We start from the raw sequence: 23,388 nt of genomic DNA on the forward strand, positions 1-23,388 counted from the left end.
TGTGACAGCAGTACTTGGCTATGGCAGTTAAATGGACTGTAAGATGTTAGCTTGATTTGGAGTACCCTGAGTAGCTGCACAGGTAGACAAAGTACAAAGATATTGACAGCTTTTTTCTTCCTTTAGAAGAATAACATATCTAAAACAACTCTTAAAGCAAGAGAGCTGCAGTTGCACACTAAGAAAATACTGCAATACTGCCATGACTTGGTTATAGGTGATGCTAACATAAATGGGATATTCTGTTTCTCATTGCACCAGTCATGCAGAATCATAGCATCATGTGCCAGATGGCAGAACGTACTGTGGCAGTTAACACCACAAATTAACAACACAGTGGCAGAAAGCACCGTTTAAAAATATGGGTACTTGGCCAGGCGTGGTGGCTCACTTCTATAATCCCAGCACTTTAGGAGGCTGAGGCGGGCAGATCACCTGAGGTCAGGAGTTCGAGACTAGCTCTAGTCTCTACTAAAATACAAAAATTAGTGTGTGTGTGTATATATATATACTAATCAAACTTCCTTGGGAAAGAAAATGTGAATGCATTTCTGTGTCATACATTTCTTGTGCAGCACTATATATTCTGTGGTTTAGCAGTATTAACAGCATCAAGCTGAACAGTAACCAGTGTTGCTAAGGTCTCGCATACTATACCATGTATGCTGAGAAGATATGCATCCTTAGAATTGAGAATTAGAACATTTCAGTTAATTGCAGTAACTTTTCAGTAACTAGATATATGTGTAATTTGATTTCTGAAGTAATTTTAACTGTGGAAAAACTAAGTTGTCACCAGCGGTACCTCATAGCATAACTTTAGCCCATGATATATGGATGGATGGATATAAATGGAAATTGCACACTGAAATTAGGACGTTTATATTTCTTCAGGTATTAGAAAACTACTCGGATGCTCCAATGACACCAAAACAGATTCTGCAGGTCATAGAGGCAGAAGGACTAAAGGAAATGAGGTTTGTATTGTTCTTGTTGCTTAACATGAGGGTTTCATAGGATATGTGTCTTTCTGTAGTTGTAGTGATATGAGTAAGTACACCTGTGTATGTATTTGTGCTTCTGTGTCTGGTAGTGAGATGGAACTATCCATTTCCCAAATTGTGTGTCGTCTCAGTGGAGGGTGGCAGTGGGTGAACATCCATTTGTTTTCATTTAGAGGTGCAGTGGCTTTCCCCATCTCCTTGTTCTTCCTTAAATCTTGGCATAGAGCTTGTTTTTTGTGTAAGGAGTCAGGGCACATTTTCTCTTGTGCTGTTTTGGAAGTTTCAGACCTGATAGCCTCTATTGTGCCTAACGCTACCCTTTTCTCTATGCCGTATCACTGAAGTTCTTTCTTTTAGAATAAAAGAACAGTGGTCTCATCAACATAAAAAACCACTGACTTTTTTCCCCTTACTAATTGCAGTCATATATGATGTGAATTTACTAAATTTTGAGGTGACCTTTATTTTCCAAATTTATGGTGTAGTTTTCCTGGAGAAGTAACAAGTTAGAAACATAGAATTTGCAGGCTTGAAAGCCAGGACTATCTTTCATCTTTCTTTTTCCTCATCCTAACTTCAAACTTAAAAAAAAAAAAAAAAAAAGCTGGGGGTAGTGGCCCATGCCTGTAATCCCAGCACTTTGGGAGGCCAAGGCAGGCAGATCACTTAGGTCAGGAGTTCGAGACCAGCCTGGCCAACATGGCAAAACCCCGTCTCTACTAACAATACAAAGATTAGCCGGCATGGTGACGCATGCCTGTAGCCTGTAGTTCCAGCTTGGGAGGCGGAGGCTGGAGAATCGCTTGAACTCAGGAGACGGAGGTTGCAGTGAGCCGAGATTGCACCACTGCACTCCAGCCTGGACAACAGAATAAGACTGCATCTCAAAAAACAAAACAAAACAAAAAACAAAGAAAGTACTTAAATGAGGAAAGAGGAGAGCACTACACAGTCCTTGCCTGGGACTCAGAGCAAACTTCATGTTTTTGCTAGTCAAACTTAGCTGCTTTAATTGACCTTTTAGGGTCAAAAGGCCTTCACTTTCCAGTTGTCAGTTCAAACGTTCTCAAGTTGATGTTTTGTGGGGAGGGAAGATTGAGATTGTCTACATCACATTTATTTGACTTGTACTTATCCACTGTGTAGTGTTATAATTGTGCTTTATTTTTGTTTTTATGGGCTATTTCCCATCATGCTGCTGTCTGCACTGCTGTTGGACCACTTTGCCTATAGAAGGTAAATGAGTCCCTTTGGGACATATGGAATTGAGAACCTTAACTTGTTTCTGCTTCTTGTTCTTAGAGGAATTATGAAGCAGTCATGATGGCTCATGATGAGTGAGCAGCTCTGTAATTTGTAGACAGAGGTATAATATGTAGGAGTCACAGAAGAGCTGTGCCAGCATGCTGTTCCCCTTGTAGCAGAGATGCTAGCACACCCACTTGATACTCCAGATTTTGCATAGGGTTTCTTTTAGAGATTGGTTCTTGGTGAAAAATTTTTTAGCATCCAGTGTGTTCCAAGGCAAAATAAGTAATAGTTTTTTAATGGTTTTTTTAGACTCAGAATTTATTTTTAACACTGCATAAATTAGGGCTTCTAGTTCTGAAAAATGCAAAGAGGCTTACTTAAGCTATTTATATATTTTTTAACATGCTGGGGAGAGGGAAGAGAGGGTGCACAGGTGACTCCTAGCACTAATATGCTAGTGCCAAACTCAGTTAATATTAATAATGGTCATTTGTTGATATTTTTGGTAGCTTTTCTATTTAAAGATTCAGTAAGTAGCATCCTTTGCACTGAATTGTCACGTTTTGTAACCTGCTGTTGTGGCAGGGACCATGAAACAACTTAGTATGCCATTGTTTCAGTTTATTTTTTAAGCATTACTGGGAACTAAATCCACTTGACTTACTTTTTGCATTTAGGTTTAAATAATTGTTCCTGGGTAGATACAGAATAAAACTCAATCTCCCCACTTCCAGCAGAGAAAAAACAAATGAAATACTGTTCTTTTTGTGTACTTACTAGAAAATGTTTAACTGGAAAAAAAGTTCTGCTTGTTTTATTGGCACAGCACCATTGATTCTGTGATTCTTTGTCATAGTATTCTGTGGCAGTTTCTGAGTATGATATGTAGATTGAAATATAGAGGCTAGGAAACTTTTAATAGTAAAATTTTACTAAAAATTTATTAACTTATTAAAATATAACTTGAAAAAATTGTGAGGTTTTTCTAAATTTCTTGGAAATTTGATTTATATTGTCAAAAAGCACTGAAGAAGTGTTAGTTATGGATTTCGGGTATCACATAATGTTTATTCCAGAGTTTTCTGAGTGTGATTTATGTGAATTTCATTTGGTTATTCTTTTACTATTTTCACAGTGAAATTGTCATGAGATTTTTTCTTCTGTATTTCTTGCTTAGCTTCTTCTCATTTAAGAATGAGTTGGAGGGATTAGGTCTTTAAGTAGGCAGATGGATTGTATAACCCTCATCCATTCTTTTGTGGTTTTACAGTGGGACTTCCCCTCTCGCATGCCTCAATGCTATGCTACATTCCAATTCAAGAGGAGGAGAGGGGTTGTTTTATAAACTGCCTGGCCGAATCAGCCTTTTCACGCTCAAGGTAAGTGATATGAACTCTCTTTTGGTGCAGTGATTCTTGGACTTTTAATGTGCATAAAAATCACCTGGTAGGTCTGGAATAGGGGCCATGAATTTGCATTTCTCATATGCAGTCAGGTGACACTGATGTTTTTCTTTTTTTTAGACATAGTCTCGCTGTGTCACCCAGGCTGGAGTGCAATGGGGCGAGATCTCGGCTCACTGCAATCTCTGCCTCCCATGTTCAAGTGATTCTCCCACCTCAACCTCCCAAGTAGCTGGGACTACAGGCACATGCCACCATGCTCGGCTAATTTTTTTATTTTTTTTAATAGAGACGGGGTTTCACCATGTTGGCCAGGCTGGTCTCGAAATCCTGACCTCAGGTGATCCACCTACCTCGGCCTCCCAAAGTGCTGGGATTACAGGCATGAGCCACCGCACCTGGCCAGATGCTGTTGGTTCTAAATGGCACTTTGAGGTGTTCTAATATGAATCAGATATTAGAAATTATTTAGTCATAGCAGCTCTTGTTTGTGTGTTCATCTTTTCTTGTCTATATCTTTGTAGATTGTACAAAACTGAAGCATAACTATGGGGATAATTGCAGATGTGCCTTTTTTTTTTTTTTTTTTTTTTTATTCTGAGATGGAGTCTCACTCTGTTGCCCAGGCTGGAGTGCAGTGGTGCGATCTCAGCTCATTGCACCCTCCACCTCCCAGGTTCAAGCAATTCTTCTGCCTCAGCCTCCTGAGTAGCTAAGAGTGCACTACCATGCCCAGGTAATTTTTGTATTTTTAGTAGAGACGGGGTTTCACCATGTTGGCCAGGCTCGTCTTGAACTCCTGACCTTGTGATCCGTCCGCCTTAGCCTCCCAAAGTGCTGGGATTACAGGCGTGAGCCACTGCACCTGGCCACAGATGTGCCTTAATTAGGATTTTGTTGTAGTAATGATGTGAAGGATAAATTACTGGTCAGCTAATGTAAGACCTACTCTATGGAAAATAACTGAAATGTGAACATATTTGTGGAAATTAAGTGACAGTAATTATAAAGTAAGAGTACTTAAATCAGGTAGAGTTCATAATAAAGCTTAAATAGGGCCGAAATGAACAGGCTAATTATTTTTCCACCATTTGTGATATATATGGTAATCATTTAGACCGGGGGTCTGCAAAGTTTTTCTGTAAAGGACCAGAAAATCAATGTTTTTTTGTTTTGTGGATCATACTGTCTTTGTCTTAACCACTCAGGTCTGCCATTGTAGTAGGAAAGCAGCCATACCCAAATGAATGGGCATGGCTGTGTTCCAAAAAAAAAAAAAATTTATTTACAAATGTTTGTTTTACTTACGAAAACAGGCTGCAGGCCAGATTTGATTTGGGGCTGTACTTTGTCGACCCCTGATTTAGACATAAGATGACTTGTCGACATTGGAGAAACTGAAAATTTGATGCTGACCCTTTCGTTCTTCCATAGTGGGTTATAAATTTTAGCAGTCAGTACAAACTTTTTCCTTTAAGTTTTGTTTTCTTGATGGACTGTATTCAAAATAAATACCTGAACAAATACCAACTATATAACATGAAGCCATAAAACTTGGTCTTTATATATAAATAAAGTTTATCTTGGGGTCAGATGTCTGTGCTGTTTTCTATATTTTTTTATATCCAATAGTTTGGTCTTTTTCCTTTCAGTTTTGTATGCTTTTCTTGTAATCGAGCCTTGGAAGAGACAGAGCCACTGAGCCCAAAACCTAGCTTTGTGGTCGGCTGTGGTGGCTCATGCCTGTAATCCCAGCACTTTGGGAGGCTAAGGCGGGAGGATTGCTTAAACTCAGGAGTATGAGACCTTGTCTCTATTAAAAAAAAAAAAAAAAAAAAAAAGCCTTGCGTGGTGGTGTGTGTGCTTATAGTCTTAGCTACTCAGGAGGCTGAAGCAGGAGGGTAGCTTGGAGATGGAGGCTGCAGTGAGCTGTGATCACACCACTGCTCTCCAGCCTGGGCCACATAGCAAGACCCTGTCTCAAAACAAAAACTTAGCTTTGTAACCTGGGAGGGATTTAACCCTTCTTTTTGGTGGAATATGCATCCCTGGCATTGAGTCAGTCCTTAATAAATGATAGCCTTTATGATGATCTGAGGTTTATCATTCTTAATTGCCTGTTAATGGCATTTTTCTATTAATATTATCTATTTTTTGAGATAGGGTCTTGTTCTGTCACCTGGGCTGGAGTGCAGTATCATAGTCACAGCTCACTGCAGCCTTGACCTACTAGGCTCAAGTGATCCTCCCACCTCAGCCTTCTGAGTAGCTAGGACTTCAGGCGCATACCACTATGCCTGGCTAATTTTTTGTATTTTTTGTGGAGAAGGAGTTTTGCCATGTTGCCCAGGCTGGTCTCGAGCTCCTGGGGTCAAGCGATCCACTGGCTTTGGCCTCCCAAACTGCCAGGATTACAGACGTGGGCCACTGCACCTGGCCTATTATTTTTTAATTTAATATTAATTTATATTTTTAGAAACAGGGTCTCACACTGTTGTCCACAGCTGGAGTGCAGTAGTATAATCATAGCTCACCGTAGCCTTGAACTCCTGGGCTCAAGCAGTAGTCCCACCTCAGCCTCCCGAGTAGCGTACACCATCACCCCAGCTAATTTTTAAATTTTTTCCTAGAGATGAAGTCTTGCTATGTTGGTTAAACTGGTCTCAAACTCCTGGCCTCAAGTGATCTTCCCACCACAGCTTCACAAAGCACTGGGATGGATTACAGGTGTGAGCAACCATACCTGGCCCTCTATTATCTCATATATAGCTTATTGTTACATATGCTGTAATTATATATAGTTATAATTATTTAATACATATATGTTTATTACAAATATGCCTGTTAATGGTATATTCTGTTTTTAAAAGGAAGGATAATTACTTTTTTCTATGAGTACCTTAAGGGCAGGAACTGAGTTTTATTTGTGTTTGTAATTTGGCTCTGGGCAGAATTCTTGGCATAGTACGTGCTTTATGTGTGAACTGAATTATATTTCTTCATCTTAATTTTACAGGTGTGAGCCACTGCACCAGGCCCCTTCATCTTAATTTTAATATATCTTTGAATAAACACCATTGTATGAACCTGCTGTAAGCTTGGGAGTGGTCTGTTAGTCTACAGCTTGTGTCTGAGATGTGCTAATTGAATATTTGCTCAGTACCTCATCTTAACTGCCTTTGGCTTTATGTTGCTTATCCTTCATAGTATCTTGTTCATTGGCCTTTTACATCCATAGGCATCACTTCTCTGATATTCGTTGTGCTCTTTTAATGGATTAATGGTTTGCTTGGTTGGTTCCTCTAGTTAGACTGTAAACTCCTTGAGAGCAGAGTCTGTATTTTATTAATTACCCACAGTACTAGGTACATAGTTGCCTTCAATAAATATATATTTAATGAACGAATTTAGTGAATAATGGCTACATTTTTGTACTTCGTTATTATTTATTTATTTTTTTTTTCTGAGACAGAGTCTTGCTCTGTAACCCACGCTGGAGTGCAGTGGTGTGATCTTGGCTCACTGCAACCTCCACCGCCCAGGCTGAAGTGATTCTCCTGCCTCAGCCTCCCGAGTAGCTAGGACTACAGGCGTGCACCACCATACCTGGCCAATTTTTGTATTTTTAGTAGAGATGGGATTTTACTATGTTGGCCAGGCTGGTCTTGAACTCTTGACCTCGTGATCCGTCTGCCTCGGCCTCCCAGAGTGCTGGGATTACAGGTGTGAGCCACCGCGCCCAGCCTTCATTATTCTTTTGACATTTGATGATAAATACTGTTTATGATTTTCTTTTTCTTTTTTTTTTTTTGGTAGAGACAGTCTCGCTTTGTTGCCCAGGCTGGTCTTGAACTTTTGGACTCAAGCGATCCACCCACCTCAGCCTCCCAAAGTGTTGGGTTTACATGCATGAGCCACCTCGTGTGTCCTTGTTCATAATTTTGATGGGCTGGGCGCAGTGGCTCACGCCTGTAATCCCAGCACTTTGGGAGGCCGAGGTGGGTGAATCACTTGAGGTCAGGAGTTCAAGACCAGCCTGGCCAACATGGCGAAACCCCGTCTCTACGAAAAATACAAAAATTAGCCGGGCGTGGTTGTGCACGCCTGTAATCCTAGCTACCCAAGAGGCTGAGGCAGGAGAATCACTTTAACCCGGGAGATGGAGGTTGCAGTGAGCTGAGATCGTGCCATTGCACTCCAGCCTGGGCAACAAGAGTGAAGCTCCATCTCAAGAACAGTTTTGATGAAATTGTCCCTAGATTTGCATCTGGCATCTAGCTCATATCTCAGAGCCAGAATGAAGGATGCTTACCTCTGGGTTTGGTAAATTTTAGCTTGGTTAATTATGTGTGTGCCTTAATTTTTTTGACCTATTATAAAAGCAATATACGTAAATGCAACAGAGAAAATGAAAGTAATCCATAAAATTCTACCTGTGGCCAGCTGCGATGGCTCATGCCTGTAATCCCAGCACTTTGGGAGGTTGCGGTGGGTGGATCACTTGAGGTCAGGAGTTCGAGACCAGCCTGGCCAACATGGTGAAACCCTGTCTCTACTGAAAATGCGAAAATTAGCTGGGCATGGTGGTGGGTGCCTGTAATTCCAGGTACTTGGGGAGGCTGAGGCTGGAGAATTGCTTGAACCCGGGAGGCAGAGGTTGCAGTGAGCCAAGATTGCACCACTGCACTCTAGCCTGGGTGACAGAGACTCTTAAGAAAAAGAAAAAAAAATTCAGATACCTGTAACCTAAATAATTAATATTTGAAAAAATTTCATCATTGCTTCTTTCATTCAGTTAATATATTTTGAACCACTTGCCATGGTGTTATATATAGACATGTCTTATATATGTGTATATATATGTGTGTATTTATTTATTTTTTGAGACAGAGTCTCGCTTTGTCATCCAGGCTGGAGTTCAGTGGTACAATCATGGCTCACTGCACCCTTGACTTCCTGGGCTCAAGCAATCCTTCCAGCTTCCCTAGTAGCTGGGACTACAGGCGCATGCCACCACACCCAGCTAATTTTTGTAGTTTTTGTTGAGGTGGGAATTCACTAGTCTTGAATTCCTGAGCTCAAGCAATCCTCCCATCTTGGCTTCCCAAAGTGCTGGGATTATAGGCATGAGCCACTGTGCTCACCCAGTTTTTTATTTTTAGATACAGGGTCTCGCTCTGTGGCTTAAAGCTAGATGGTGCAGTGGCACCATCATAGCTCACTACAACCTTGAGCGCCTGGGCTTAAGGAATCTTCCTGTCAGCCTCCCCAGTAGCTGGGACCACAGGCATGCACCACTGCACCTAATTAAAAAAAATTTTTTTTATAGAGATGGAGGGGGTCTCATTTTGTTCCTCAGGCTAGTCTCAAACTCCTGGCCTCAAGCAATCCTCTGCTTCAGCCTCCCGAAGTGCTGGGATTACAGGTGTGAGCCACGGTGCCCGGCCCCTTATTCTTTTTGAAGGCTGTTTTAAGAATTCCAGATTTCCAGCCATGAATGTGTGATTACTAACTAGTCTCTTGTTATATGCCTCATCAACACCACACTTCTCCCAGAAGTTGTGCAGGCATTTAGTTTATTGTTACTCAGGAATGGATGAGAAAGGATATCAAAGATCTGAACCAGCTGATTACCATCTTGGTCACTTGAGAACTCAGGTCTGTCCAATAAACACCCTAATCCAAGGTGGTGTTAAATACATATATATATATTTTTACTTTACGTTTATTTATTTTGAAAAATTTCAAACCTATAGAAAAATTGAGGCAGTACCATAGTCTTAGTCCATTTTCCATTACTTAGAATATCCAAAAGTGAGTAATTTATAAAGAAAATTAATTTATTTCTTACAGCTATGGAGGCCAAGGTCGAGGGGACATATCTGGTCAGCGTTTTGCCATGTTGGTCAGGCTGGTCTCGAACTCCTGACCTCAAGGCCTGCCTTGGCCTCCCAAAGTGCTGGGATTACAGGCATAAGCCACCGTGCCCAGCCACCTCTGAGCACTTTAGATAGTATGTCTTAAGAACAAAGACATAGCCCGGCGCAGTGGCTCACGCCTGTAATCCCAGCAGTTTGGGAGGCTGAGTCGGGCGGATCACCTTAGGTCAGGAGTTCGCGGCAAAACCCCGTTACTACTAAAAATACAAAAAATTAGCTGGGTGTGGTGGCGTGCACCTGTAATCCCAGCTACTCGGGAGGCTGAGGCTGGAGAATCACTTGAACCCAGGAGGCAGAGGCTGCAGTGAGCCGAGATGGCACCACTGCACTGTAGCCTGGGTGACAGAGCAAGACTTGGTCTCAAAAAAAAAAAAGAAAAAAAGAACAAAGACATTTTCCTATATAACCACAATGCCGTTATCACACTCAAGAAACTTAACATTGATATGATTGTGTATAATACATAGTCCATATTCAAATTTTTCTCTCATTTCAAAATTATTCTTTGTGGCCTAAAATCCTGTATCCAATCATGATATTTTTGAACAATCCAGACTAGTTGTTGTATAGAAGTAAGTAGTTTGTTTTTTTTGTTTTGTTTTGTTTTGTTTTTTGAGACAGGGCCTGGCTCCGTTGCCCAGGCTGGAGTGCAGTGGCATGATCACGGCTTACTGCAACCTCTGCCTCCTGTGCTCAAGCAATCTTGTGCCTCAGCTTCCTAAATAACTGGAATTAGAGGTGCGTGACACCACGCCTAGCTAATTTTTGTATTTTTAATAGAGATGGGGTTTTGTCATGTTGCCCAGGCTGGTCTTGAACTCCTGGACTCGAAGCAATCCTCCCACCTCAGCCTCCCAAAGTGCTGGGATTTATAGGTGTGAGCCACCAGGCCTGGCAGTTAAGTACATTTTTTAAGGACTAATAAAAATGTAGAAATCTTCGTTATTTCCGGAATCCTTTATGTTTTACTGCCAGTACTAATGTAGTAATGCCAGACAGTAGTCATGTCTACTGTTCCAGGTTGTCCAAAGGATTCAGCAGCAAAGGATGAAAGTGGTGGGAAGTTTTGCATAGTGGTCGACCAAGGGCTAGTTTGGTGAGTGTCTTGCCTATGATAATGGACAGGAAGACACCAGTTATTTTATTTTATTTTTATTTTATTTTATTTTATTTTAATTTTATTTTGTGTTGTGTTGTGTTATCTTTGAGATGGAGTCTCACTGTATCACCCAGGCTGGAGTGCAGTGGCGCAATCTCGGCTCACTGTAACCTCTGCCTCCCGGGTTGAAGTGATCCTCCTGCCTCAGCCTCTTGAGTAGCTGGGATTATATGCGTGAGCCACCACACCCGACTAATTTTTTGTATTTTTAGTAGAGACAGGGTTTTACCATGTTGGCCAGGCTGGTCTTGAACTCCTTACCTCAGGTGATCCACCCACCGCAGCCCCCCAAAGTGTTGGGATTACAGGCGTGAGCCACCACACCCAGCTGACACCAGTTATTTAACTCACATTTCTCTGTTTTCCTTTTAAAGGTAGTAGTGACACCTTTGAAATCTTTTGGCATTTTCTTTGCCTGTTCTCCCTTATGTGTTAAGGATAAGCTTACGTGCAGAATGGCTTGTTAAGTTTTTTCTCCTCCGTACTTGGAAATCTCATCTGGTGGGACATTAGGGTCAGAATTTTGTATATTATATATTATATATCTATCATGATATATATAATGTATTTTATATATTATATATTATATAAATATCATGATAGATATATAATATATAATTATATGTTATATATTTTATATTTATAAAATAAAAATAAAAAATTGCAATTATTTTCAAATAGTAAAACCACGTAGATAAAATATAATTCTGGCCAGGCACGTGGCTCATGCCTGTAATCCCAGCACTTTGGGAGGCTAAGGTGGGTGGATCACCTGAGGTCAGGTGATATAATATACAACAGATATAATATGTCTATTATATATTATATATAATGTTATATAGATATCTATATTATATATAATATATTAATAGATATATTAATATAATATATATTATATATTATACAGATATCTATAAATATATTATATATAATATATTATAGATATATCTATGTATATTATATCACCTGACGTCAGGTGATCCACCCACCTTAGCCTCGCAAAGTGCTGGGATTACAGGCGTGAGCCACGTGCCTGGCCAGAATTATATTTTATCTACGTGGTTTTACTATTTGAAAATAATTGCAATTTTTTATTTTATTTTTTGGTTCTGGAAACATTTGTGTGGACTTACCTATGATTGTCAGGTTTACTGATTTGCTGGAGATTTTTTGGGCATGACAAAGGGTTTCTTCTTTGATAAAAGTTTTTCTGGGTAATGTGATGGTACAGGTTGAGTATCCTTTATCTGAAATGCTTGAGACATGAAGTGTTTTGGATTTGAGAATTTTTAGCATCTTGGAATATTTACCACATACATAGTAAGGTACCTTGAGGATGGGGCCCAAGTCTAAACACAGAATTCATTTGTGTTTCATATTTATCTTATATGCATGAAACAAAGTTGTTTGTTTTCTTTTTTTTTTGAGACGGAGTCTCACTCTGTCGCCCAGGCTGGAGTGCAATGGCATGGTCTTGGCTCACTGCAACCTCCGCCTCCCAGGTCCAAGCGATTCTCTTACCTCAGCCTCCTGCGTAGCTGGGATTACAGACATGAGGCACCATGCCCGGCAAATTTTTGTATTTTTAGTAGAGATGGGGTTTCACCATGTTGGCCAGGCTGGTCTCAAACCCCTGACCTGAAGTGATCTGCCTGCCTCAGCCTCCCAAAGTCCTGGGATTACAGGTGTGAACCACCGCACCTGGCCCCAAAATAAAGTTTTGACTCTGTGTGTGTGTGTGTGTGTGTGTGTGTGTGTTTTGGAGACAGAGTCTCACTCTGTCGCCCAGGCTGGAGTGCAGTGGCATGATCACAGCTCACTGCAACCTTAGCTTCCTGGGCTCAAATGATCCTCCCACTTTAGCCTCCCAGGTAGTTGGGACTACAGGTGCGTGCCACTGTGGCTGAGTAATTTGTGTGTGTGTGTGTGTGTGTGTGTGTGTGTGTGTGTTTTAATAGAGATGGGGCTTTGCCATGTTGCCCAGCCTGGCTCTTGACCTCTTGGGCTCAAGCCATCTGCCCACCTTGACCTCCCAAAGTGCTAGGATTATAGGCGTGAACCACCATGCCCAGCCTTTGACTGTGTTTTGATGGCAACCCATCACGTGAGGTCAGGTGTAGAAATTTCCATTTTTGGCGTCAGGTTGGCACTCCAAAGGTTTCAGATTGTGGAGCTCCTTGGAGTTTTGGATTAGGGATGCTCAGCCTGTACATTTGACAGTTTATTTACAGATGCTTGCATCAGTGCTTGGAGCTAGTCCTCAGTGGTGGGATAGGTGAAAATTATCTCTACTTTGAGTTCTTGATTTGAATTCTTTTTTCTTAAGCTTTTCCTAAAGTCATGTGTCAGTGTTGATTATTGCCCGGTTAGAGGTAGGATTTGTATTGTTTTTTTACACTTGGAATTTCCTGTTGTCATAAGATCACTGTGAACTCCCTTGTAGTGTTGTACATTCTTAGGACTTTCATGCTGAAATACTATGCTTTTATAAAATGGTTGTTGTGTCTTTGCTGAGTTTAAATAGGGTCCAGGCCAGGCATGGTGGCTCATGCTTACCCTGTCTCAAAAAAAAAACACCCTCAACTAAATATAGTTAAATAGGCCAGGCTCGGTGGCTCATGCCTGTAATCCCAGCACTTTGGGAGGCGGAGGCGGGCGGATCACCTGAGGTCAGGAGTTCGAGACCAGCCTGGCTAACACGGCGAAGCCCTGTCTCTATTAAAAATAAAAAAAAAACCTAGCCAGGTGTGGTGGTGAACGCCTGTAGTCCCAGCTACTCGGGAGGCTGAGGCAGGAGAATCACTTGAACCCAGAGACAGAGTGAGACTCTGTCTCTCACACACACACACACACAGATAAATAAATTGGGTTCATAAATGGTGATTCCAGCACTCACTGTCAGGTATAACTTCAGTCTTTTTTTTTTTTTTTTTTTTTTTTTTTTTTTTTTTTTTTTTGAGACAGAGTCTCCTTCTGTCACCCAGGCTGGAGAGCAGTGGTGTAGTCTCAGCTCATTGCAACCTCCACCTTCTAGGTTCAAGCAGTTCTTCTGCCTTAGCCTCCCAGGTAGCTGGGATTACAGGTGCAGACCACCACGCCCAACTAATTTATTTATTTATTATTATTATTATTATTATTTTTTAGTAGAGATGGAGTTTTGCCATGTTGGTCAGGCTGACTTTGAACTCCTGACTTCATGTGATCCACCTGCCTTGGCCTCCCAAAGTGCTGGGATTACAGGTGTGAGCCACTGTGTCCAGCCAACATTATTCACTTTTGTTGTTACATAAGATGTCACGGCCAGGCATGGTGGGTCACGCCTGTAATCCCAGCACTTTGGGAGGCTGAGGTGTGTGGATCACCTGAGGTCAGGAGTTTGAGACCAGCCTGGCCAACCTGGTGAAACCCCGTCTGTACTAAAAATATGAAAATTAGCTGGGATTACAGGCGGGCACCTGTAATCCCAGCTACTAGGGAGGCTGAGGCAGGAGAATCACTTGAACCCGGGAGGCAGAGGTTGCAGTGAGCTGAGATCGTGCCATTGCACTCCAGCCTGGGTGACAGAGCAAGACTGCGTCTCAAAAAAAGAAAAAAATAAAAAAGATGTCAGTTATGGCTATTTGTACTTTATTATACTTCATGTGATGATATATGGTTCAGCATCAGGGTCTTTTTTCAGTTAAGTTCAGTTGAACCCTTTTCCTGTTTAGAATATTTTTTAAAAGTATAAAAAAACTTAATAAAAGAAATGGATGGCTGGGCATGGTGGCTCACCCCTGTAATCCCAGCACTTTGGTAGGCTGAGGCGGGCAGATCACCTGAGGTCAGGAGTTCAAGACCAGCCTGGCCAACACAGTGAAACTCCATCTCTACTAAAAATACAAAAATTAGCTGGGCGTGGTGGCGGCCGCCTGTAATCCCAGCCACTTGGGAGGCTGAGGCAGGAGAATCCCTTGAACCCGGGAGGCGGAGATTGCAATGAGCCTATTGCGCAACTGCACTGTAGCCTGGGCGACAAGAAGGAGACTCCGTCCCTCCCATAAAAAAAAGAAATAGATGACTACATTTAAAATATCTTCCATTTAAATCCATAGTTTACAAATAAAGGAAAAAGCAGTGGAGGAAGAGAGTGAGATAATTACTTCATTTTTACAATGTTAAATAATTACAATTAAAATTTTTGTGTACAATTCCACATTTAATAGCAATTTGCAAATGCCTTATTGCCAGGTGTGGTGTCTTACGCCTGTAATCCCAGTACTTTGGGAGCCCAAGGTGGGAGAATTGCTTGAGCCCTGGAATTCGAGACCAGCCTGGGCAACATAGCGAAACTTTTGTCTCTACAAGAAATAAAATTAGCCAGGTGTGGTAGCCTGCATCTGTAGTTGGAGGTACTGGGGGAGCTGACGTGAGAGGATTGCTTGAGCCCAGGAGGTTGAGGCTGCAGCTGACATCAAGCCACTAGACTCTATCCTGGGCGACTAATTGAGACCCTGTCTCAACGAACAAAGAAACAAAAAAAACCCAAATGATTTACTTACCATTAAATACCAAGAAAAGAATGACTGGAGTAAGCTTAGATTTAGATACAACAAAATCATGGAGCTTATCATTTGAAAGGCATTTTTGACTTTTCATAGGTGTGTAGCAAGCAAAGTGGTCCTTTTGAAAAATGCAAGTCACATCATGTCACTTTTCTGCTTGGCCTTTGCCTACTTCTCGAATGGTTCTCCTAGCACATTCTAACTGGTCATTATTCATTGTGTTTCAGCCATTCTGGCCTTCAACCTATTTCTCAAACACCCCAATCTTGGGTATACTTTAGGGCCCTTGCATTTGCTAGCTCATTTACCTGGAAAATTCTGCGGTAACTTCTTGCACATAATAGGTGCTAATAAATATTGGCTGCATGCAACCAAAAAAGCTGGCTTCGGTAGTAGAAGTAGTAGAAGAGAACATTACCAAAGTCCTTTTTTTTGAGACAAGATTTCCCTCTGTTATTTAGGCTGAGTGCAGTGGTGCCATCACGGCTCACTGCAGCCTTGACTTCTTGGACTCAAATGATCCTCCCACCTCAGCCTCCTGAGAAGCTGGGACCACAGGTGTGTGTCACCATGCCTGGCCAATTTTTTTATTTGTAGAGAAGAGGTCTTACTGTGTTGCCCAGAATGGTGTCAAACTCCTGGGCTCAAGTGATCCACCTGCCTCAGCCTCCCAAAATGCTGAGATTATAGGTGTGAGCCACTGGTCCAGCCTCTTACCAAAATCTTTTTTTTTTTTTTTTTTTGAGACGGAGTCTCGCTGTGTCGCCCAGGCTGGAGTGCAGTGGCGGGATCTCGGCTCACTGCAAGCTCCGCCTCCCGGGTTCACACCATTCTCCTGCCTCAGCCTCCTGAGTAGCTGGGACTACAGGCGCCTGCTACCACGCCCGGCTAATTTTTTATATTTTTAGTAGAGACGGGGTTTCACCATGTTGGCCAGGATGGTCTCGATCTTTTGACCTCGTGATCCACCCACCTCGGCCTCCCAAAGTGCTGGGATTACAGGCATGAGCTACCGCGCCTGGCCGCCTCTTATCAAAATCTTAAACTTGTTAATTCTTGTATCTCACCTTGCTTTTATATCAGTTTTTGTTATAGAATGTGCTTTCTTTTTAGGTTATTTTTCTTCTGCTCAGCAAGTTAACTTTGAAGAATCTTTTTTTTCTTGCCTTTTTTTTTTTTTTTTGAGACAGAATTTTGGTTTTGTTGCCCAGGCTGGAGTGCAATGGCGCGATCTCAGCTAACGGCAACCTCCACTTCCCGGGTTCAAGTGATTCTCCTGCCCCAGCCTCCCGAGTAGCTGGGATTACAGGCATGAGGCCACCAGGCCTGGCTATTTTTATTTTTTATTTTTTATTTTTATTTTTTACTAGAGACAGTGTTTTTCCATGTTGGTCAGGCTGGTCTTGAATTCTCGTCCTCAGGTGATCCACCCGCCTTGACCTCCCGAAGTCCTGGGATTACAGGTGTGAGCCAGCGCACCCGGCCTCTTGCCCTCTTTAGAGCAGTTCTACATAAATCTGTGGAATAATCTGCTGACGTTAGAAATAAACCTTTCTCAGGGTGTGGCCATAATCTGGTTCGTTGTAATTGCTGAAGGAAAAAACTGAACCCTTAGGAACAGTTTAAACATTCTAGGTGGTTTTTAGATATATTATTCCTGTTAGAGTTTTGAACTTTGATCATCTTGTTAGAAAAAAGAGGCCAGGCACTGTGCCTCATACCTGTAATCCCAGCATTTTGGAGGCTGAGTCGTCAGGAAGTCACTTGAGCCCAGGAGTTTGGTACCAGCCTGGGCAACATATGGAGACCTCGTCTCTACAAAAAAAAAAAAAAAAAAACAAAACCTGTTAGCCAGGCGTGGTGGCTCATGCCTGTGTTCCCAGCTACTCAGGAGGCTGAGATGGAAGGATTGCTTGAGCCTGGGAAGTTGCGACTGCAGTGAGCTGTGATTGTGCCACTGCACTCCAGCCTGGGCAACAGAGTAAGACCCTGTCTCAAAAAAAATGAATTTTTGCATTCATTTAAAAATGAATGGTAGCAACATTTTAGATAATAACTTATGTAGTCTGTGTGAATCTCATCAAATATATGTGATTTTTAATGCTTGGAATCCTAGAATTTTAGTGAGGGAGGAGCTCTCAAGTTATCTAATTTACTGTCATTTTACAGATAAAAACTAAACTTCTGATAGATGAAAGGATTTATACCATACATCTATATGATAATTGCATATGGCTGAGTTGAGGTTAGAACCCAGGACCCAATCTTTGATTTGATTTCTTTTCATTATGCCAATTTAGAATAAAATTTTTTCTCTTGGTTTTCTGACCTTTGGCCACTTCATCTTTTGAAGGATCTTGTAAGTTCCTTGATATTTCTCAAAATGTCAGTTTTATTCTCTTCAATGAAAGTTCTTGTTAGGTGAAAGTAGCCTTTCATATCCTTAAATGTGAACCTGTTCCTTAGGCTGGAGTTTTTGTACTCTCCATTATATTGGCATTTATAGTTGTTGGTTTTCTTTTTTTTTTTTCTTTTGAGACGGAGTCTGTCTCTGTCGCCCAGGCTAGAGTGCAGTGGCGCGATCTCGGCTCACTGCAAGCTCTGCCTCCCGGGTTCACGCCATTCTCCTGCCTCAGCCTCCTGAGTAGCTGGGACTATAGGCGCCCGCCACCATGCCCGGCTAATTTTTTTGTATTTTTAATAGAGACGGGGTTTCACTGTGTTTGCCAGGATGGTCTCCATCTCCTGACCTTGTGATCCTCCCGCCTCGGCCTCCCACAAGTGCTGGGATTACAGGCGTGAGCCACTGCACCCGGCCAGTTGTTGGTTTTCTTTTCTGTGCCAGATTGAGTGATATATGGTGGTACTAAGAGCACTGGAATAGGAGTCAAGGACTGAGGTACAGCATAGCACCTCATGTATTACTTGGTATCTCCACTTGTCTCTAACACTGAAGAGGTATAATTGGTTGTTTAAAAACTGTGGGTGTAAAACGCTAGTATCCCATGAAATGGAACTGCAGAATATAAGTGGATGACTCTGAAACTGCTTTTGAAACAAGCATGAGGGCTCAGTTTCTCCATCTCTCGTGGGCTCCACCATCACTGTCTGACATCCTGATCTCCTAAGGCATCTTTCCTCCATCCCAGAGCTCTGTTGAAAATCTCTTGGGCTAAAAACCAGTACAGACCTTCTGATACTCACGTTCTAGCCTTTTTAGATTGTTGTGTGTGAAGAGTAAGTCAGCTGTGGATATTTTTCTTTCCTATTTTGTGAGGCATTTGGTATTTACTGGAGGCTGCCTGTTTTGTTGCAAACCTTGTTCCACTGTGTACTATAGGAGGTCTGCTCAGAAAGCCTAGTTAGTAGAGCAGTACCATTTGCTTTGGTCAATTGTAGCAGCAGTCTGTTTTTTTTTTTTTTTTTTTTTTTTTTGAGACAGAGTCTTGCTGTGTTGCTCAGGCTGGAGTGCAGTGGTGTGATCTTTGCTCACTGCAACCTCCGCCTCCTGGGTTCAAGCGATTCTCCTGCCTTGGCCTCCCAAGTGGGATTGCAGGTGTGTGCCACCATGCCCGGCTAATTCTGTATTTTTAATAGAGATGGGGTTTCACCCCCAGGCTGGTCTTAAACTCCTAACCTCAAGTGATCCACTTGCTTCGGCCTCCCAAAGTGCTAGGATTACAGGTGTGAGCCACCGTGCCCGGCCAGCAATCTGGTTTTAAAGGAGGCTTTGACCCCTCATTTGGTAAAAGGTTCCTTCTTTGACTAATTCCCAAAGGACATCTCGATCTGTCTTCAAAAGAAGGGGTATTCCGTTGTCAGTATTCCTAGCTAGCTCTGGGAGAAGAGAGAACTTGATTGTTTTCAGGGCCCTGGTCAGAGTCTGGTTTTATGCCCAAGGGATGAACTGCCTTTTGTCCTTCTACCTCCTGAAGTTCAGAGCCCTGTGAAAATGAAGTGGTAAAGGTCAAGTAGCAGTAGTTTGAAAAGCACCAGCACTGGGACGATTTTGTGGTAGCCTAGCAGAGTGGGCAGGATGCTTACTTCAGAGGTGCTAAAGATGTATTTTTTTTTGGAACAAGAAGGTTATAAATGTTTCTATTAAGTTTGATTTTAAAGCATGAGGGTTCTGGGAAAATGAGAAGATTGTACATACTCTAGGCTTCCTTGGGACTGCATTTGAAAAAAAAAAAACTTTTCTTTGGGTCAGCCAGTATGAAAACTGCATTTGATCTCAATCCTTCAGATCAGGCTTTTGGGGAGAGTTAGTTGAAGAATTTGTTTAGTCTAAGAAAGTTGCTTCTAGCTTAGCTAAATCTGGAAGAAAAAATGGAACCTGATGTTTGAGTGCTAACTGTATTCCAGACAGACGTTATACTCCTTATATTGGTCCTTTTGAAGCATAAATATGTTTCCAAGTCCTATAATAATGAGGAAATTGCCTGTGAGAGTTTAAGTAAATTGTACAAAGTAACACTTTTGGTTCAGAGATTTGTTTTTAATACAGAGAGGACAGGTTAGGAACTTTGAAGCTTCAGCTAAATGAGTCAGTTCTCAAATGTTTGAGAAGCATGCTCAAGGATCTGGAGGAATAGCTTAATTAATTTGTACATCATGAGAGGAGTAGGGAGCAAAAATATGTATAATTTCTTCTGAATGATGCTGTCTTTTTTGATGCAGTGGTGCTAAATGGGCTTTGCTTGTATGATACTTCTTAAATGCATTAGCTAATTATTTTGTTTTAGTCTTCTTTTTTGAAATACAGATGACTCTTTGAGCTGGTTTTCTTTGGAAAGTTATCTGTCCTGACAATTCTACTTCTAAAACTTCAACTTTTTTTTTTTAGTCTTCATTTCCATTGCCACCACCCTATCCTAAATTATCCCGTTATGCTGGATACTGAAATAGCTTCTGCCTGGTCTACTTACTTTCACTTCGCCCCCTTACGATCCAGTGCTTTGCTCCTTTTAATCCAGTGGCCAGAGGGATTTTTTTCAAAACATAATTTGATTATAACAGATCTATGTTTGATACTTATCCATGGTTTCCCATGGCAGTTGCAGAAAAATCCAAACCTTGTTTGGCCACACTGCCCTTCTTTCAGTAATTTGAATTCCTTAAGCTTTTTCCAGTTTCAGGATTTCCCATTTTGAACTCTTTCTCCTCCACTTTTTCCTGGCCACAGGTTTCAAGAGCTGACAACTTACCTCAGTTCTTAAGAGGATCCTTCATTTATCTCTAAATTGGATTTTCCTGTGTCCAAACCTTACTTGTTATCACAAGTTTATAATTATTTGGGTGATTGTTTGATGTGTCTCTCCTGACTGGGCCTTAGGGGCAGAGAATCTGTATTATTTTGTTCTTGTTTATATCCCTAGGAGCTCTTATGGTAGGTATTCAATAAATGTTTGTTGAATAAAGGCAGTGGAAAAACACATAGAAGAGGTGCTGTGGCAGCAGTTCTCAGTGCCAACAGTTGAATTGGTTTACAATAGTAATTTTTAGTGTCAACAAGGAGATGTGTAGTATGGAATGTTTATTAGCAAGATCTTTTTCTCATGGAATGGAATGTTTGAAAACCTCCAAAGTGTAAGTTTTTTTTTTTCTCAAAAGAAAACAGTCATATTTGGGGTTACTTTTTTTTTTGAGACAGAGTCTTGTTCTGTTGCCCAGGCTGGAGTGCAGTGGCATGATCCCGGCTCACTGCAACCTCCACCTCCCGAGTTTAAGTAATTCTCATGCCTTAGCCACTGGAATAGCTGGGATTACAGGTGTGTGCCACCATGCCCAGCTGTTTTTTGTATAATTATTAGAGATGGGGTTTCGCCATGTTGACCAGGCTGGTCTCAAGCTCCTGGCCTCAAGTGATCTGCCAGCCTTGGCCTCCCAAAGTGCTGGGATTACAGATGAGAGCCACCGTGCCCGGCCCATTGTTACTTCTGAAATCGAAATCAAATGCCATATTGATTCCTGATCTTTTGTGTATGACCTCTCTCTCTCTTTTTTTTTTTTTTTTGCTACCTCTCCCCGAAAGTTTTTAGGATCTTTTTTTCCACGATTATGTACCTTGATGTGGGTCTTTTCTCGCCCTTTGTGCTATTAGGTCTAGCAACTCATGTGTCTCAGGTCTGGGAAATGATTTTACAGTTTTTCCAGCTGGTGCGTAACTAGCTGTTTGTTCTGATACTGTCAGTATTTAACTTTATGTTAGAAACATTTCATAATGCAAATGAAAAATTTAAGCCAGGTGCAGTGGCTCATGCACTTTGTGAGGCTGAGGTGGGAGGAACACTTGAGGTCAGGAGTTCAAAACCAGCCTGGCCAACATGGTGAAACCCCTTCTACTAAAAAAACAAAAAAACAAAAATTAACTGGGCATGGTTGTGCACCCCCATAATCCCAGTTACTCAGGAGGCTGAGGTACGAGAATCACTGGAACTGGGAGACAGGTTTCAGTGAGCCGAGACTGAGACAGAGCAAGACCCTGTCTCAAAATATAAATAAAATACATAAAAAATTTAATATTATGTATATAATATCCAGCCCAGGCTTTTCTATTTGTCATGCCCTGTTTCTTTCACATCATAGCCTTACTCAGATGCCTGCTGATCCTTGATTGAGGTGTGATGCTTGAGAGTCAGGCTCTTAAATACTACTGGCGAATTCAGTGCATTGTGGTTTTGTGACTTCACTTGTCTCTTACAGAAGTGGGGAAGTGGTTTTTACTTCGATGCATGGTTCTGAAGTAGAGATGTCTATCTCCTGATGCACACTTTAAATAATCCCCATGTTTTCCACTCCATACTCCATCCTTGTCTGGTTTAAGCTCTTAGCCTGTCTGCAGTTCAGGGGATGAATCTGCTTGGTTCTTTTCAGCATCTCCCTCTGCAACGCTTAGATCTCATCTTCCTTTGCTTTGCTAACTATTCTCTTTGCTTCTCCATTTGTTTCTCTGTCATTGATGACTTCCAAGTTATATCCCCATCCTGGATATTCCTTTTGAACGTCAGACTCATATATTCAGTTACCTCCTCAGTATCTCTATTCGGATATCTAATGGCATCTCAAAATTAACATGTGCAAAACCAACCTGTTCCACCCTTGTGTTGGCTGTATAAATTAGTGGGAACTCCATTTTTTAAGTTGCTTAAATCAGAAACCTGGGAGTCATCAATTTTGGAGTCTGTCCCTTTGCTCTTGTGGCACATGTAATCACGAATAAATCCTGTTGGCTCTATCTTCAGAATATATCTCATTTTATCACTCTCTCTGCCACCAGAGTGGTTTAAGCCACCTTCATCTCTTAGGTTATTTTAGTAGCTTCCTAACTGGTCTCCTTCCTTCCATTCTTGCCACCTTCCTCAACACCGAAGATATATTTTATTTATTTATTTATTTATTTTGAGACAGAGTCTTGCTCTGTCACCCCAGCTGGAATGCGGTGGCTTGATCTTGGCTCACTGCAACCTCTGTCTTCCAGGCTTAAGCAATTCTCCTGCCTCAGCCTCCCGAGTAGCTGGGGCTGCAGGCATGCACCACCATGCCTGGCTAATTTTTGTATTTTTTAGTAGAGATGGAGTTTCACCATGTTGGCCAGGCTGGTCTCGAACTCCTGACCTCAGGTCATCTGCCCGCCTCAGCCTCCCAAAGTGTTGGGATTACAGGCGTCAGCCACCATGCTTGGCCAAATTTTTTATTCCTTTGGGTAAAGAGATGTATTTTATTTCCTTTAATTTGGTAATATAGTGAGTTATGTTAATAGATTCTTTTTTTCCAGTGCTCAAGCATCCTTGCATTCCTAGGATAAATGGTACTTCAACATGATTTTCCTTTTAAATATACATTGCTGGATTTAGGTTATAAATTATTGAGAATTTTTGCATCTGTATTTACAAGTGTTACATTCTAATTTCAGGCCTTTTCCAGTTTTATTATCAAAACAAGCTGTGCTGTTTTTCCTCTCTTGATTCTCAGTAGTAGTCTCTTTAAGATAGTGATTATTCATTCTTTTTGGTAGATCATGCCTATAAGACCTGGGCATGTATGTTTTTATTGTGGGAATATATTGTTTTTACTTTCCTTGTTATG

At 41.5% G+C, this 23,388-nt stretch overlaps 1 protein-coding gene across 14 annotated transcripts in view, besides 1 other annotated feature; it reads left to right on the forward strand.

Moving 5' to 3' along the window:
- ASXL1 (ASXL transcriptional regulator 1) overlaps positions 1-23,388 on the forward strand; it is an 80,989-nt gene that overhangs the window by 7,159 nt on the left and 50,442 nt on the right. For 9 of the 14 annotated variants that reach the window (NM_015338.6, XM_047439942.1, XM_047439944.1 and 6 more), the window contains 3 exons: positions 895-977; positions 2,238-2,240; positions 3,526-3,634. In NM_015338.6, the coding sequence (NP_056153.2) occupies positions 895-977; positions 2,238-2,240; positions 3,526-3,634 (195 nt within the window). Of the gene's footprint in view, positions 1-894; positions 978-2,237; positions 2,241-3,525; positions 3,635-6,674; positions 7,061-23,388 lie in introns of those variants that run through there. The other 5 variants (XM_006723727.4, XM_047439945.1, XM_011528648.4 and 2 more) reach the window with 2 other exon arrangements.
- Positions 3,751-3,860: an enhancer, noted in NCBI's record as "active region_17716". NCBI's record gives its function as "activates an Ori minimal core promoter by ATAC-STARR-seq in GM12878 lymphoblastoid cells {active_cell/tissue: GM12878}" and the evidence as "EXISTENCE:reporter gene assay evidence [ECO:0000049][PMID:35858748]".

The sequence above is a fragment of the Homo sapiens genome, chromosome 20, assembly GCF_000001405.40.
Source record: "Homo sapiens chromosome 20, GRCh38.p14 Primary Assembly".
Lineage (NCBI taxonomy): Eukaryota > Metazoa > Chordata > Mammalia > Primates > Hominidae > Homo > Homo sapiens.